General features: G+C 39.3%; 1 protein-coding gene across 4 annotated transcripts in view; it reads right to left on the reverse strand.

The window, feature by feature from the left end:
• CSMD1 (CUB and Sushi multiple domains 1) overlaps positions 1-15836 on the reverse strand; it is a 2059554-nt gene that overhangs the window by 428256 nt on the left and 1615462 nt on the right. For 3 of the 4 annotated variants that reach the window (XM_011534752.3, NM_033225.6, XM_017013731.2), the window contains exons 19-20: positions 5638-5754; positions 3416-3631 (exon numbers count right to left, since the gene is read on the reverse strand). In XM_011534752.3, the coding sequence (XP_011533054.1) occupies positions 3416-3631; positions 5638-5754 (333 nt within the window). Of the gene's footprint in view, positions 1-3415; positions 3632-5637; positions 5755-8795; positions 9077-15836 lie in introns of those variants that run through there. The other variant, XM_011534753.4, reaches the window with a different exon arrangement.

Raw genomic sequence — 15836 nt, forward strand, 5'->3', positions numbered from 1 at the left:
TCCCGGGTTCACTCCATTCTCCTGCCTCAGTCTCCTGAGTAGCTGCGACCACAGGCGCCTGCCACCAAGGCTTTTGAATGAAGAGAAAATCACATATGTAATGGCACAAAGTGGTCCAACTTTTAACCTTTTGAAGAGAATGACTGAGAAATGATGCTAATTCACTAGAAGTTAGCACTGAAGAAGTAGACACGTCGTAGCGAGTGGGAAAGTAAGTGTGGAGTATCCAGTGCACATAGTTAGCAACTAGTAGCAGACAATGTTATGTAGAATGGGGATTGTGCAGGTTTATCTAAGCCAACTGGAATACGGGGCTCTTTTTCTACAATATTACCGTTAACATCTGCAGAAATACTGACTAGGAAACACAATCAGGAAACACTGCTTTAATAAGGCCTTCTGAGAAAGGCAGAAATAAACTCGATTAACAGGAAAGAAGGCAGATATAAAAGCATATGAATACCATTTATGATAAACCACAAAGTCTCTGGATGGGTAAATGCCTCATTTGTATAATAAAGTTGCTAGTTATTTGTATACTTAAAAAAAAAACTCCATGGTATCAGTGTCACTGGCAATTGTTTGCAGCACAGTTTCTAGGCAAAAATCCTACCAAATGAAATTACTCCTCTAACATACCTGAAGAATTTGTTTACTTTAAAGTCGACTTTGAAATCCAAAGTGTTGTCTTTTGTTTTTAAAAAGACTTTCTGCTTGTGTGCAACTGTCTAGATGAAATTTATTTCTTCTGCAGGCTTTAGGTATTATTTTCTACTGGTTATGTTTAAATGAATTGTTCTGAATGTTTACAGACTGTTAACCACTTTAAAGACCCATGAAAGAGTATTTTATTGTTGTTGGCTTGCTTGTTTGTGCAAGTAGTTTATAATGACAGTGTCAGCTGTGTAGTTACATTCTGACTTTTATATGGTCTGAGTGTGTTACCCAAAATCCATGTGCTGGAAATTTGATCCCCTTTTTGGGAGTGTTTATGTCATGAGGGACCCACCCTCATTAATGGATTAAAGCCATTAAAAGGGCTTCTTCTCTTTTACCCCATGGGGATATGGGCGATTCTCCCCTTTCTGACCATATTACCTTCTGCCATGTGATGTCACAGCAAGAAGGCTCACCCCAGATGCCAGCACCTTGATCTTGGACTTCCCAGGGTCCAGAATTGAGAAACAAATTTCTGTTATTTATAAATTATCTAGTCTCAGGTATGCTGTTATGGCAAGTGGCACAAACAGACTAAGACAGTAGTCGTCAAAAGAGTTACTGTCAGACCTGTGGTGAGGGCACCAGAATAAGAAACTGATGCAGTAAAATGAATAGAATTTGCACAGACTTCTGAGAAACACCTGCAGAAGTGAACTGTAACAGACTTGCGTCACTGCCATTTTCTTTTTTTGGAGAAGTCTATTTAAATTCATTTTGGGTCCTGATGAAAGTAAGAACTGGAGGAAGTGATATTCTCATAGCAATACTAATTGAGATACACCAGGGGAGAATGCAGAGAGAGAGGGATTTAGGAATTAGTGTTGGGAAGATTTAAGTCTTTGATATATAAAGTGGCAAGTTTCATGATTACTGCTGATTACAACAAATTTCCAAGAAATCAAGTGGTCTGAGCCAGTCTTGAAAGCTTCACTTGAGTAGTGAAATACCAAGAAAAATCAACAAAGTCAGATTAAGATAAATGGCAACTAGGTAGAATTAGAGGGAGTATAAAGTAGTTCAGAGCATCTTAAAATCCCCAAGAAATATTTTCCTTGAAGACACTATTTGATTTTACATAATGTTAATCAACATGCACTAGTTAGTAGGCAATTGTGAAGTTCTTATTACAGTTGACTCTTGAAAAATGTGGGTTTGAACTACTTGAATCCATTTATACATGAATTGTTTTCAATAAATACATTGACAATTTTTTGGAGATTTGCTACAACTTAAAAACACATGCAGACGAACCATGTCATCAAGACTTACCTTAGAAATTAGTAAAATGTTAGGTATATCATGAAAGCACAAAATATATGTAGATACTAGTTTATTTATGTGTTAATTGACTGTAGGCTTTTGGTCAACAGTAGGCTATTAGTAGTTAAGTTTTTGGGGCGTCAAGAGTTACCCTCAGGTTTTCCACTGTGTGGGGGTTGACACCCCAACCCTTGTATTATTGAACTACAGTTGACCTTGAATAATACAAGGATTAGGGGTGTCGATCCCCGCACAGTGGAACATCATCTTACTTATGAGTAACTCATCTTACAGTAACATACAGCAGTAGAGCTGTTGTTTATATAAAAGTGGGGCAAGCAAACTTTCTACCAAGATCTTCAGTTTTGGTTTGGGAGATAAGATAAATACTCAACTATTGTGACACATAATCTCATAAGTGGCATCAGAAGTTATTAAGGAATTTATGAGATCTCAAAAGTAGAATAAATTACATGTGACTGTGGTACCCAGGGACCACCTTATGAAAATTACATTTGATCTGGGCTATGAGGAATAAGGAAGGAAAACCCTCTTCGTCCAAAGCATCATATGCACAAATGCAAGTTAATATGATTGTTCCCATCCTTTGGCAGCTGTAGTGCAGCAGGGCCCTTTCTGTTGGTGGAGGGTGGGGGCATGCTGGAAATGAAGACACTGCAGAGGTTCTCAGTGTGACCTGTTCACTGAGCATCATTTGTTTATGTGACCAAGTTTATCTCTCACATGTTTGGCCAGTTTTTAAGTGGCGGCAATTTTTTCTTATCTGTAGAAAAAATTAGCATCTCTGTCATAGAACTATACAAATTAAACAATCTAACCCATACAAATAATTTCTGCTGTAACATAAACCTTATGCAAATATTATCTATATATTATCATTAAAAATAAAGATGTTACCTAACTTGGAGTATTTTTTGTCATTGCATATGAATATATTAAACTACAAGCTCATCCTCAACTGTGTGTGTCCACCTGCTTCTTTCATCCTAGAGGTGGTTGTCAATGCAAATATTGGCACCTACCGTAGGGTAGAAACCAATGCAATCAGGTGACAACAGACCCAGAGGATGCCTCCCAATAAAGGAACTTTCCTCAGAGATCTTGTAGAGTTGGTGAAGAGAATCGAGTGAGAAGGGCTTTGCAGAATGTAGTGACATCTACAGATTTTTCAAAGACGAGAATTCACAAATTGTGTAACACAAAGTGGCATTTTCTGGATGCCACATAACTGTACTTGCACCCTGCTTCGTGGAGGCTCAGCCTCCTGCACCCCATTAGTTGGAATCAAGTCACGCATGTACAAACACACACGGATGCACACATTACACACACACACACACCCACACACATTCTCACTAACAGAAATGGCAGTATTGTTGCCAGAGGAGAGAAACAGCAAACAAGACCAACATACCTGAAAATGTGATATTGAAGCCCTCGTACGAAATTGAGAAGTCTGATATAAACCGAAGCTGGGCAGTGAAGTTTCCAAACAGGCCTGCCTTGATCGTATGAGGCAACACCGACCCGGTGAGCCTGGCAACGGGCTCGGAAAAACTTCCATCCTCTGTGATCAGTAAATAGTCGTGGGAACTCTCAAGATGAAAGGTGTGAAAGATCATTTGAACTCCTGAGAAATGAAGCCGGGGGAGAGAGAGAGAGACAGAGAGAGACACACGGGGCGGCGGGGGCAGAGAGGGAGCGGGGCAGAGAGAGACAGAGACATAGAGATGACAGAGATGGAGAGGAAGAGAAAATAAGAGGGGAAGACAGATTGCAGAGAGTAATAGCCACAGAGAGACAGAGATGATAAAGAGATGAGACAGAGATGGAGAGAGATGGAGAGGAGAGAGAGAAAAAGAGAGAGGTTAGGAGAGGTAACAATTGCTGAAAAATTTTTTCTGGACTTAGACACATCAAGCCTTAATCAAAATATTAAAATGTTATCTTGATATGAAAATCTAGCTTTGAAGTTTAAGAGGAAAATTGGTGGAAAGAGGACGGCTTTAGAAATGAAAAAAAGCAGAAGGGATAAACAACAAAAATAAATACTTAAGTGCATATAAGTACAGATATGATGTAAATATGAAGATATGATGTGGACATCAATATTGAGGAAATATGGAGATTATAGATGTAGTTATATATAGATACAGATATAGATGTACATATTGGCATAGATATGTATATTTAAGAAAAACAGGTGAGAATGTTTACAATGGGTTTCATTTAAAAATTGTCAGTAGACTCTTAGGGACAGTATTTGTCCCAGAGGGACAAAGGACCAGACAAATTTTCAATTTACTCTAAACAGGTGTCCTTTAGAAAAATCTTATTTGGAGGTCTGCATAACCGAGGAAAAACTTCCTTAAAAATGTAGTTTTAGATGCCCGTAAAGCATATGACCTCATAGTAACCGGAACTACAAAGGCTTATTTCTGGATTCCTATAGTGAAATTAATAAAATTAACTGTGAACAGATAACTTCTAATAAAAATGTGTATTTTTATGATTATAAAACTTTGATCACTCATAATCTGTGTCTTCTTTATGCTTAATTTCCTTCAGGGCAAGTTCTTCTTTCATGTCATTCATGGCAGCATAGTGCCACACAGTACACATAATAAAATGTAGCCATTTCATATTAAGTCGGGTTCAAATCTATGTGAAAAGACGAAGTCTACATAATACTTATGTGATCGAAATTCCAAATAGACTCTTGTTTATTTTATTTTTTGAGATAGAGTCTCGCTCTATCTCCTAGGCTGGAGTACAGTGGCGCAATCTCAGCTCACTGCAACTTCCGCCTCCTGGGTTCAAGCCATTCCCCTGACTCTGCCCCCAGAGTAGCTGCGATTACAGGCATGCACCACGATGCCTGGCTAATTATTTTGTATTTTTAGTAGAGACAAGGTTCCACCATATTGGCTAGTCTGGTCTGGAACTCCTGACCTCAGGTGATACACCTGTCTTGGCCTCCCGAACTGCTGGGATTACAAGCGTGAGTCACTTCACCTGGCCCCAAATAGACTCTTAAAGATGACACGTTTAGTCACAGAAAAAAGTTTCAGGCTACAATCCTAATCCCAGTGTTTATAATCTACATTTCCTGCACAAAATGCAAAATATCCTGATCTTCACTATGCTTACCTATAAAATGAGGATAGAAATATCTATTCTATGAGCCATCTCTGGATTATGTGAAGATAAATTATTCATTATGTATGATGATACTGGGTAAACATAAAATACAAGGAAAGTACAAAAATTGTCCCAGATATATCATGAAATTGGAAGTTGGACAATCGCTTATTTCCCTTTATTTAATCAATGGTCAGATTTTATTGAATAGATGCCTTTATTCCTTACCACGATAGCTATATTTCAAGCTTATGTTCACATGCGTATATTCAGGTTATCTGATAAACAGAGAGCAAAACGGGGAATGGTTTTTATTGTACAGTTGAAAGACTATTGTTCTTCCAAAATCTTATTAAATAATAAGTTAAAATCTTGAACTATACATGAGAAAAGTAGTTATCTCACTTGTTTACACCGTAATATGTTTTTGTTTTGTTCCCGTTTTTCTGTCTCATTTATTAGTCTGTATGTTTGAGACCTATGATAGATTCTTACCTTTCCCATGAGACACTTCAATGGTCCACGTGCAGTTTAGAGAGTTTGGATAAAAATCTGGAAACCCAGGAGAAAGGACTGTTCCACTCTTCCCTTGGATGTAGCCTCCACATAGAGCTTAAAATAATAAAGAGAGATGATTACAGCACTAAAGTTTCACAATGATTGCCAGAACAAAATACTGGTTAAATGGCATGCAATTTGCACAAGGATTAACAAATTTAATGTCATATCCAAGAAAAACCAAGCAGAACCTGAGCTTTATGTTACTTGCAAATATCATATGCTAGTTCATATGAAGGGATCTTAACCACTACAAAACCTTGACAACGTAACACAGAATAAGGCACAGCAGGAGAGCTGGAACCTGCATTAACAAGCCTCAGAATTGCAGACATGGTACAGGTTTGCACTCCTGAGAGCCGCTGGTCTTCTTAGCAGCACTTCATTGAGTTCAAATCCCCTCAACAAACCATGTCATGTTCAAACACTCACTTCAGACACTCATTTTGGAAAAAAAGAAGAGAAAGTTTTATGTAATCATTTCAATGGGAAAGTGGCAACAATTAGGATGTCTGCAGAATATGGGAGCTTAAGTGCTCAACTCTGATGTTAGAAAGTTATGAGTTCAAATGCCAGCTCAGCTTCTCACTAGCTCTGTGATCTCTGGTAAGTCTCTCAATCCTTTACATTTCTCCCATCTTGAAAATAGAAATTATGATAAAATCCATCTCATGGATAGGTGTTTGCAATGATTGCCATTGTAGAACACAATTTACAGTGTGTAGTAGCTACTAAATGATTAAAATGGTACCTACTGATAGATACTGATCAAAACGTTATCTACTGAGAGTTGCTAACGGGAATTCAATTCTTAAGATATCAATAATTTAACCTTTTGAATAGACTCCATATGCCCTAATTTTACAGACATCAAGAGGAGAATATTGACACGTTCCCGCCAACTTTCTTCTTTTATTTCATATCTTAAGACCTCTCAAGCTATCCTATGAATGGAAGCACTGAACTGAAAAAGAATAAAAGGAAATGGAGTCACCAGAGCCGGAGGGTAGAGGCAGGAAAGGCAACTGCCGTTCATGCTCTGCAAACAAACAGCCATGTGCTCCGGGTCTTGCTCTTCTCCTGGAACCTCTCCACCTGCAGTTGTGAGGCCTATGGATGTCACCAGCTCAGATCTCGAGACCAGGCTGCCCACCCTCACTGCAGCACCTCCACTGTGATGGTGAAGGTTATGTGCCAGTGTGACTGGGCTAAGGGCTGCCCAGATAGCTGGTAAGAGGCCGGTCATGTCTGTGAGGGTGCTGCTAGGACAGATTAGAATTTGAGTCAGTGGACTGAGTGAAGATTTGCTTTCACCAATGTGAACTGGCATCATTCAATCTGCTGAGGGCTGGAACCGAATAAAAAGGCAGAGAAAAGGCTGGGCACGGTAGCTCACACCTGTAATCCCAGCACTTTGGGAGGCTGAGGCAGGTGGATCACCTGAGGTCAGGAGTTCCAGACCAGCCTGGCCAGCATGGCAAAACCCCATGTTTATCAAAAATATAAATTATTAGCCAGGCATAGTGGCAGAAGCCTACAATTCCAGCTATTCAGAAGGCTGAGGAAGGAAAATCACTTAAACCCGGGATGCGGAGGTTGCAGTGAGCTGAGATCACGCCATTGCACTCCAGCCTGGGGCAACAAGAGTCAAACTCCATCAAAAAAAAAAAGGCAGAGTAAAGAAAAATTTTATCTTTTCTTGAGCTGGGACATCCATCTTCTCTTGACCCTGACTTCAGAGCTCCTGGTTCTTGAACCATCAGACCCAGAACATACATCTTCAGCTCCCCTGGTTCCCAGGTCTTCAGTCTCAGACTTAATTATGCCACTGGCTTTTCCAGATGTCTAGCTTGCAGAAGGCAGATCTTGGGACCTTTTGGCCTCCCAAACACATGAGCCAATTCCCACAATAAATCCTGGTTCTGTTTCTCTGGAGCACACTGACTAATACATCCACTTACTAGTTAGTAACACGTGCAAAGTTCTCTACCGCTCTGTGCTTCCATGGCCTCACATGTAAAATGGGGCAAAAATCACAGCTCATTCCTGCTTGCTGAAGAATGAAATAAGTGAATACATGTAAGGAGCTCACAATAGTGTCTCACAAGTGAAACATCACTCAGTGTCACAATTTACTATGCATTTCACAAGGTTCCTTTGCTTTTTTTTTTTTTAACATGCCCACATTCTGTGCATGTATATATTTATACTTCTTTTCTTAAACTAGGTAAGATGAACTATCATGAAGTAAATGATACTCAGAATAACTTCTTCCAATTAGTATGATCATTCTGAATTATGTTTTATAAAAGCCTCTTCCACAAATAATATTCACAAAAGAATTAGATAATCTATGAAAGATGTGACTAGCCTCATCGTGCTCACTAACCATCCATCTTAAGGGAACAAATCATCTCCTTTAATACGTAAACCTCATGGGAAGCATGATATAAAAATCGGCAAAAGAGAAAATTTTTAAAATAATTTCTAGAATATTTTAAGAATTTCTCATGGAATTTTTGCATCTGAAGATTGCAGTGACTCCACATTTCACTGTGAAAGAAGTAACATTATACATCCCACTTGAAATTAATGTATTCAACAAATCGTTATTGGGCACCTGCTATTGAGCAAGCTCTGCCCCCAGCATCAGGGATGATTAATAATAAGAGAGATAAAATATCTGCCCTTCTAAAGTATGAATTCCAGTTGGAAAAGACAGGATAAAACCTGTAACAACATAAAAGGCAGATGATATACAATATTGGCAGATGACACATGACTGTGAAGAAAATTAAGAAAAAGGGATGGGATAGTGTGAGGCTTCTGGGTGGCCAGCGGTGCCGTACTTAGGAAGTGGTCTATAAATAAGGACTTGAGAGAGACAAAGGAAACAGTGAATACCTGGGGAACAATTTGGGTAGAGAGAAAGTGGTTAGGACCAGGGCTCAAGCTACAGTGGAGCTGCAGGGACAGGGAACAGAAAGGACACCTCTGTGACTGGGGGGTCCTTGTAAGGGTTGGAGGTTTCTTTCAGTGACATGATGGGGCACTGGATGGCCCTGCCTAGAAAACGACACGATCTCATGACCTACCTGGGGTTTAGCCCTGCTCCTGAGGCTGTGCTGAGAGAATACACAGTGGTGAAGGGAGGAAGGTGGTCAGGACCCCGAACCAGGGCATTGGCAGCAAGATGGGAAGACATGGTCTGAACCTGCCTGTGTCCTGAAGGTAGAGCCGGTGGGACTTTCTCCTGAATGGGATATGGGCATTACGATAAAAAGGAGGAGCTGGGGGTGATTGTGAGTTCATAACCTGAGTGTGAAATAACTACAGGTGAAGGAGATCTCAGGAGAACCAGGTCATGAGTGTAAGGCAGGCGTTCAGCTTTGGATACCAAAGCTCCAAGTCTGCTGGGCTTGCCTGTAGAATGGCCGACATTATAACAGGTTACATAGGTCTGGAGGCCATGGAAGAGGGTTGAGCAAGGGATAGAAGGGAGACCACAACTATGTGAGAACACCAGTGGCAGTGAATGTAGAAATAAGCTTCCATAGAGGGAACTAATGCCAGCGCACCGCGTAGTGGGAAGAAAACCAGCAGAGGACGGAGGAGTCCCGAATTCAGAAGGTTTGGATTCGTAACTTTTCACTGGTCTATGATTGGATTGGTATGAATTGATGCAATAATTTCTCAAATTTTTATGAAGACGATCACCATAATGAATGTAAAACATTTTATGTAAAACTGAGATATCTTATATCCAAAGCTACTTGTCAGTGGTCTTTATCCCAAAATCTGCATGTTATATAAACTGATAAAATTAATTCATATCCAACTATGTTTAACAGTATAAAAACAATCAATCTTTATTTTATCCTCTGTCTTCATATCATCAGGAAAAGTTACTTGATCATTTATTGGGGAAAAATCTGGGAGGGAATGTGCTCTGCCCTCTTTTTGATGTTTTCCCTCCATACCACACACAGAACCCGGAAATCACTGACCAGCCCCGTCATGCTGCCATCAGGAGAAAGTCAGACAGAAAGTTAGAGATAAAGCTGCTCTCAGGCTTGTTTAGATTTATATGGGTGCAAACACAACGTAGTCCAATTCAGTTATCATGAAGACTTTACATAAAAGTAATTCTGTCCACAAATCCTATAATATTTTTCAGGAGAAGGAAATTTGATGTATGGAGAATTGAATTGGTATTCTCACCTAAAATTGAAGTGAGGAGATGAGAGAATGAAATGAAATACCTGAATTACATTTTAGTGTCTATACAGGTGAGGGCTGTATTCATATGTAGACATGTCTACATTCCCTTAGCAGAGCTACAAATATAGCTGCTCATAATTTGAATTATGTTAATCTGTTTCTTCATGCACGGTAGATCCTTTTCTGAGTAGCTGTAAAAGACACAGTAAAATTTTACTGTTGCTGTCCTTAATGCTATAATTTCTTGAATTTTACTTTTCTATTTATGTAACCCAGCCAACACCAAGGATGCAGGTATGTTACATTAGAAATCTTTTGGATGGAGGACTAAGATATGCAGAAATCATTGAAGAACAAAAGAGGAGACATACGTTGTGATATTTTCCTGGCTGAGTTGAAGTAAAGCATCCAACTATTTTTTTTTTTTTTTTTTGAGATGGAGACTTGCTTCTTTGCCCAGGCTGGAGTGCAGTGGTGAGATCTTGGCTCACTGCAACCTCTGCCTCCCGGGTTCAAGCAATTCTCCTCCCTCAGCCTCCTCAATAGCTGGGATTACACACATGTATCACCACAGCCAGCTAATTTTTTGTATTTTTAGTAGAGACGGGGTTTCACCTTGTTGTCCCGGCTAGTCTCGAACTCCTGACCTCAAGTCATCTACCTGCCCCGCCTCAGCCTCCCAATGTGCTGAGATTACAGGCGTGAGCCACCATGTCCGACCCATCCACCCGTTTTTCAAGTTCTGTCTTTTGTCCTCTACTTTTATCCATTCATCTATCCCATCCTGCATTTAGAGTTACTTATTAAGAAACATACTAATGTTTTCCAAACACTCATTGATGCTTCTGGGCATAGAACAATGAATAAGACAGAAAAGTCCCTGTTTTTCCAAAGTTTACATTCTAATGGGGAAGGCAAATAACTTGGTTTTAAAACTCCAGATAACGAGGTCTGATTTATTCTAAGAACAAGAATATTAAGTTGCTCTCTAAACTCAAAGGAGGTCTAGATGATTAGACTATGACGGACATGCTGGTGAATCAACAAAGTGATGAATGCACATCCTGGCAAATGTCCACTCCCAGGATGGTGAGTATGGAGTAAGTGATACAAGGTCGGAGGAAATGCAGAAGATCAGAAGCAACCCTATGGTAGCAGGGTGCCCCGAGACAGGCTGTCTGCTGAGGTTTCTCTGCCAACTCATTCCAGGATCCTACGGCTTCCTACTGATGTTCATGGCAAAGCACACAGCCCTCTGGGGATTCTTTAGTTATTTATTGTCTTCCCACCACCCGCACCACCCCATCACTTCCCCAGACCCTGCCAAAGTCTTCTAATAAATGGAAGTTTGCAGAGTCAGTTATTGTTGCCTGGAACTCAGAAATTGAATTCAACAAGTTTATGGATGGGAGGAGGGCGGCAGTTGAAGCACGCAGACAATTTCACAGGCAACAGTGATCTCCGTGTTAGAGACGGCAGTGGGAAAAAGAGGAGCTGGTGATGATACACCTGCTAGCTCCCTGGACGGTGGCATTCACCTCCACGGTGCCCAACTGTAACTTGAAACCTGACAGCTTCCACATGTACATGTTAAACACTGACCTCGTTCTCCAACTGTGTTGAACTTCCAACTGCTTGCCAGGTTTCTCGGGATGTCACCTTGGAGTCACCTCTCTCTCCTAAACTCCTGTATCCTCCTAGTGACACTTCTAACTACTCCCCACTATTGCTTTCTTCAACTGGTGTGTTTCAGGTTATTTTTGTCTTATCAATTGCCTAGCCTCTGCAAGTCTGCCTCTTCCTCAAAGAGATCCACCTGTGAAAGCACAGCCTTGGGCCTGATCTGTTTCCATCTTTTCTCTTTTTTTCCATCATTTTCTTGTTCTCCTGAAACCACAAATACAGTTCTATTTGAAGTCAGACTTAATGAGTTACTTTCCACTTCAATAATATTCATAGACTCTCCATGCCCTACAGAAGTCGCTGATTTTATTCATATATTTATATGAATACATTATATATATTTTTATGAATAAATATGTTGTTCACATATTTATTTATAATAGAAACTTTCCACCAAAAGGAATCTTGTGCAGAAACCCCCAGTAGGAAGGAGGGGAGTAAATTGGGGCAGTCCAGCTGCATAGGAGAGATTCCAATCCTGATGACCAGCCCCCATCTCACCCTCAGAAAAACCCTGGGGTCCTCACAGTGTGATCGCTGGACACTGCAGCATGAATCTCTGCCTATGGCCATAGACCAGCACTCGAGGCATTTGATCATCATCTACCTTCAGTGATTCACACCCCTCAATCCTCCAGACCTCTTTTTTTCTCTTTGCACCTCAGTTTATAACCATTTCTTCACGTTGAAACATGTCCCTCCCTCTCAACCTCCATCTTAAAGATGTATCTCCAAAATTGCCTCCAAGCTTTCGATATCCCAAATTGGAACTTTTTTTCTCCAACTTCTTTATCCTCATCCACTTTTCTGTGTCTAATAAAGCACTTACTTCATTGTGTGATTTTTAAAAATGTCTTTCCTTTTGCTATGCTGATAGATTTTAAACTTCTGTGTGATTGCAAATACAGCAGGTTCTCAATAAATGCTTGTGGAGAGAGTAAACAGTTTTCAAAAATACTTATTTAATAAAAAAAATTTTTTGACAATATAAAAATATTTTAATAACATAATTACTATTGAAATATTAAGAAATAAAGAGTAAACTAATTGCCTGCAAGTATGGATGAAAAGGGTAACCAATAATACTTTTTCAAATGCCAAGAACAACAAATTTGTCTGAAAACATATTTGAATTGGGAAGGAAAGCATTGATTATATCTCATGGTGACACAGACTTGTTTTTAAAGCTTTCTATTAATAAATTTTTCTACAGAACATATATCTTATTCATAATAAAAAAGATAATTAAAATTTACAATGTTAAATATAAAATATTCATATTTATCATGTTACCTCCCATTCTCCGTGAAAAATGTGCAGTTGAACTACTTGCATGATTCCAAATAAATTCTTTTTTTGTTGTTAAAACTATCTTTCTTTAATTAAAAAAAATTTCAAAGTTTTCTTTGCGTTTGTCTTTCACAAAATTAGAGGACAATTTATCCCAATGTTCACTTCTTTAACATTTGAATGTGTGAAAGAGTAATGTTAAAAACACACTGAACTGATGCTATGCACCCAGCACAGACACTGAGTTTATCGTGTTTCATGTTGATATACAATATTATAATTATTTTTTTTTCTTTTCTGAAAGCTATGAATGTTTAAAGGTTTAAATATCCTACTTATGTAACTTTTGTTGCACGAAAAACCCATGGGGTTTAAGAGATTGCTTAAGATTTGAAGGGTAATGAGAACAAGCCTTATGGTTGGATGAAAACTATCAAACATGACTGACTGAAACTCCCATATCAAACTCTAACATCACCCAAAATTTGTAGATTTAGTAATAGCTCTTTCTTTGTGGAGACAGAGTCTTGCTCTATTGTCCAGGCTGTAGTGTAGTGGTGTGATCTTGGCTCTCTGCAGCCTTGACCACCTGGGCTCAAGTGATCCCCCTGCCTCAGCGTCCTGAACCGCTGGGACTATAGGCACATGCCAATACCCCCAGCTAATTTTTGTGTTTTTTTGTGTGGAAATGGGGTTTTACTGTGTTGCCCAGGCTGGCCTCGAACTCCTGGGCCTCAGCAATCTATCTACCTCAGCCTCCCAATGTGCTAGGATTACAGGCATGAGCCACCATGCCTGGCTTATTAATAGATTTTTACCACAAATTCTTTATACTGAGAAACATGTTCCAGTGCTGCAAATTACAGTCATGCTATTGATTCCTTCGAAAGGTTTAAATCTCAAATTTACATACATTTATATCGACAGACAATAAAGAAACAAAATGAATAAGCTAAGTGTACTTTTATTTTCTATGGAAAATGCCACCCATATAACTGGCATCCCTATAGCATCTCAATTCCTGTACTGCAAAACCTATTGGCTCTTTTTGGTCTATTCCCACTCCGTTTCTCCTAAATCATTTTCCTATTGATCCTTCACTCAGTTTCCATTAAACCTACTTTGCTAAACCTCCAGGAATTCTTACTGTACCGCACCTATCAACTCCTGGTAATTCTGCTCATATCCTGGGATGCCTGTTCACATGCTGGCTACTTTGGGAAATCCTACCCAAAACGGAAACACCAGGTTAAGGGCTGTACTTTCCATGAATGTTTCCTCAGTTACTACCCCCTGGGAGCTTAAAATCAAACTGAACTGACTGTATTGAGTATGTAAAATGTATTAGTCTAAGATATATTCAATATAAGTTGTAAACACATGTTATATTATCTCTCTCTCTCTTTCTATCTAACTTTATGGAGCTGAATATTAAAAGAATTGAGGTCAGAAAAGTCAGTGCCGTCATGGCCTGGAGCAATTCCAGAGGAATGCTCATCAAGGCTGAGTGTGACCTGGTCTTGGAGGTTGAAAATGATTTAAATAATGCAACATGTAAGGATGAAGAAGGGTATTGAATATTGGATGTGTTTGATTGTTGGTAAGAAGAGAGGAAGACATTCAATTAATAAGTTTTATTTTCTAGGTCACCTGCTGGGTAGAGTAGAAAATAGTCTTGGCTAAACCAGGAAGAAGTCGAATCCCTGAATAGACCAAAAACAAGTTCTGAAATTGAAGCAGTAATTAATAGCCTACCAACTAAAAGAAGCCCAGGACCAGGTGGATTCACAGTCGAATTCTCCCAGAAGTACAAAGAGGAGCTGGTACCATTCCTTCTGAAACTATTCCAGACAATAAAAAAGAGGGACTCCTCCCTAACTCATTTTATGAGGGCAGCATCATCCTGATACCAAAACCTGGCAAAGGCACAGCAAAAAAAGAAAATTTCAGGCCAATATCCCTGAAGAACACCGATGTGAAAATCCTCCATAAAATGCTGGCAAACCAATTCCAGCAGCACATCAAAAAGCCTATCCACCATGATCAAGTCAGCTTTATCCCTGGGATGCAAGGCTAGTTCCATATATGCAAATCAATAAACGTAATCCATCACTTAAACAGAACCAATGACAAAAACCACATGATTATCTCAAGAGATGAAGAAAAGGCCTTCAATAAACTTCAACACCCCTTCATGCTAAAAACTCTCAATAAACTAGGTAGTGATGGAACATATCTCAAAATAATAAGCTATTTATGACAAACCCACAGCCAATATCATGCTGAATGGGCAAAAGCTGGAAGCATTCCCTTTGAAAACTGGCAAAAGACAAGGATGCCCTTTCTCACCACTCCTATTCAACACAGTATTGGAAGTTCTGGCCAGGGTACTCAGGCAAGAGAAAGAAAGAAAACGCATTCAAATAGGAAGAGATGAAGTCAAATTGTCTCTGTTTGGAGATGACATGATTGTATATTTAGAAAACCCCATTTTCTCATCTCAAAATCTCCTTAAGCTGATAAACAACTTCAGCAATGTCTCAGGATACAATATCAATGTGCGAAAAGCACAAGCATTCCTATACATAAATAATAGACAAACAGAGAGCCAAATCAAGAATGAACTCCCATTCACAATTGCTACAAAGAGAATAAAATGCTGAGGAATACAACTTACAAGGGATGTGAAGGATCTCTTCAAGGAGAACTACAAACCACTGCTCAAGGAAATAAGAGAGGACACAAACAAATAAAAAAACATTCCATGCTCATGGATAGGAAAAATGAATATTGTGAAAATGGCAATACTGTCCAAAGTAATTTATAGATTTATTGCTATCCCCATCAAGCTACCATTGACTTTCTTCATTGAATTAGAAAAAACTACTTAAAATGTCATATGGAACCAAAAAAGAGCCCATATAGCCAAATGAATCCTAAGC

This window comes from Homo sapiens, chromosome 8 (genome assembly GCF_000001405.40).
Source record: "Homo sapiens chromosome 8, GRCh38.p14 Primary Assembly".
Lineage (NCBI taxonomy): Eukaryota > Metazoa > Chordata > Mammalia > Primates > Hominidae > Homo > Homo sapiens.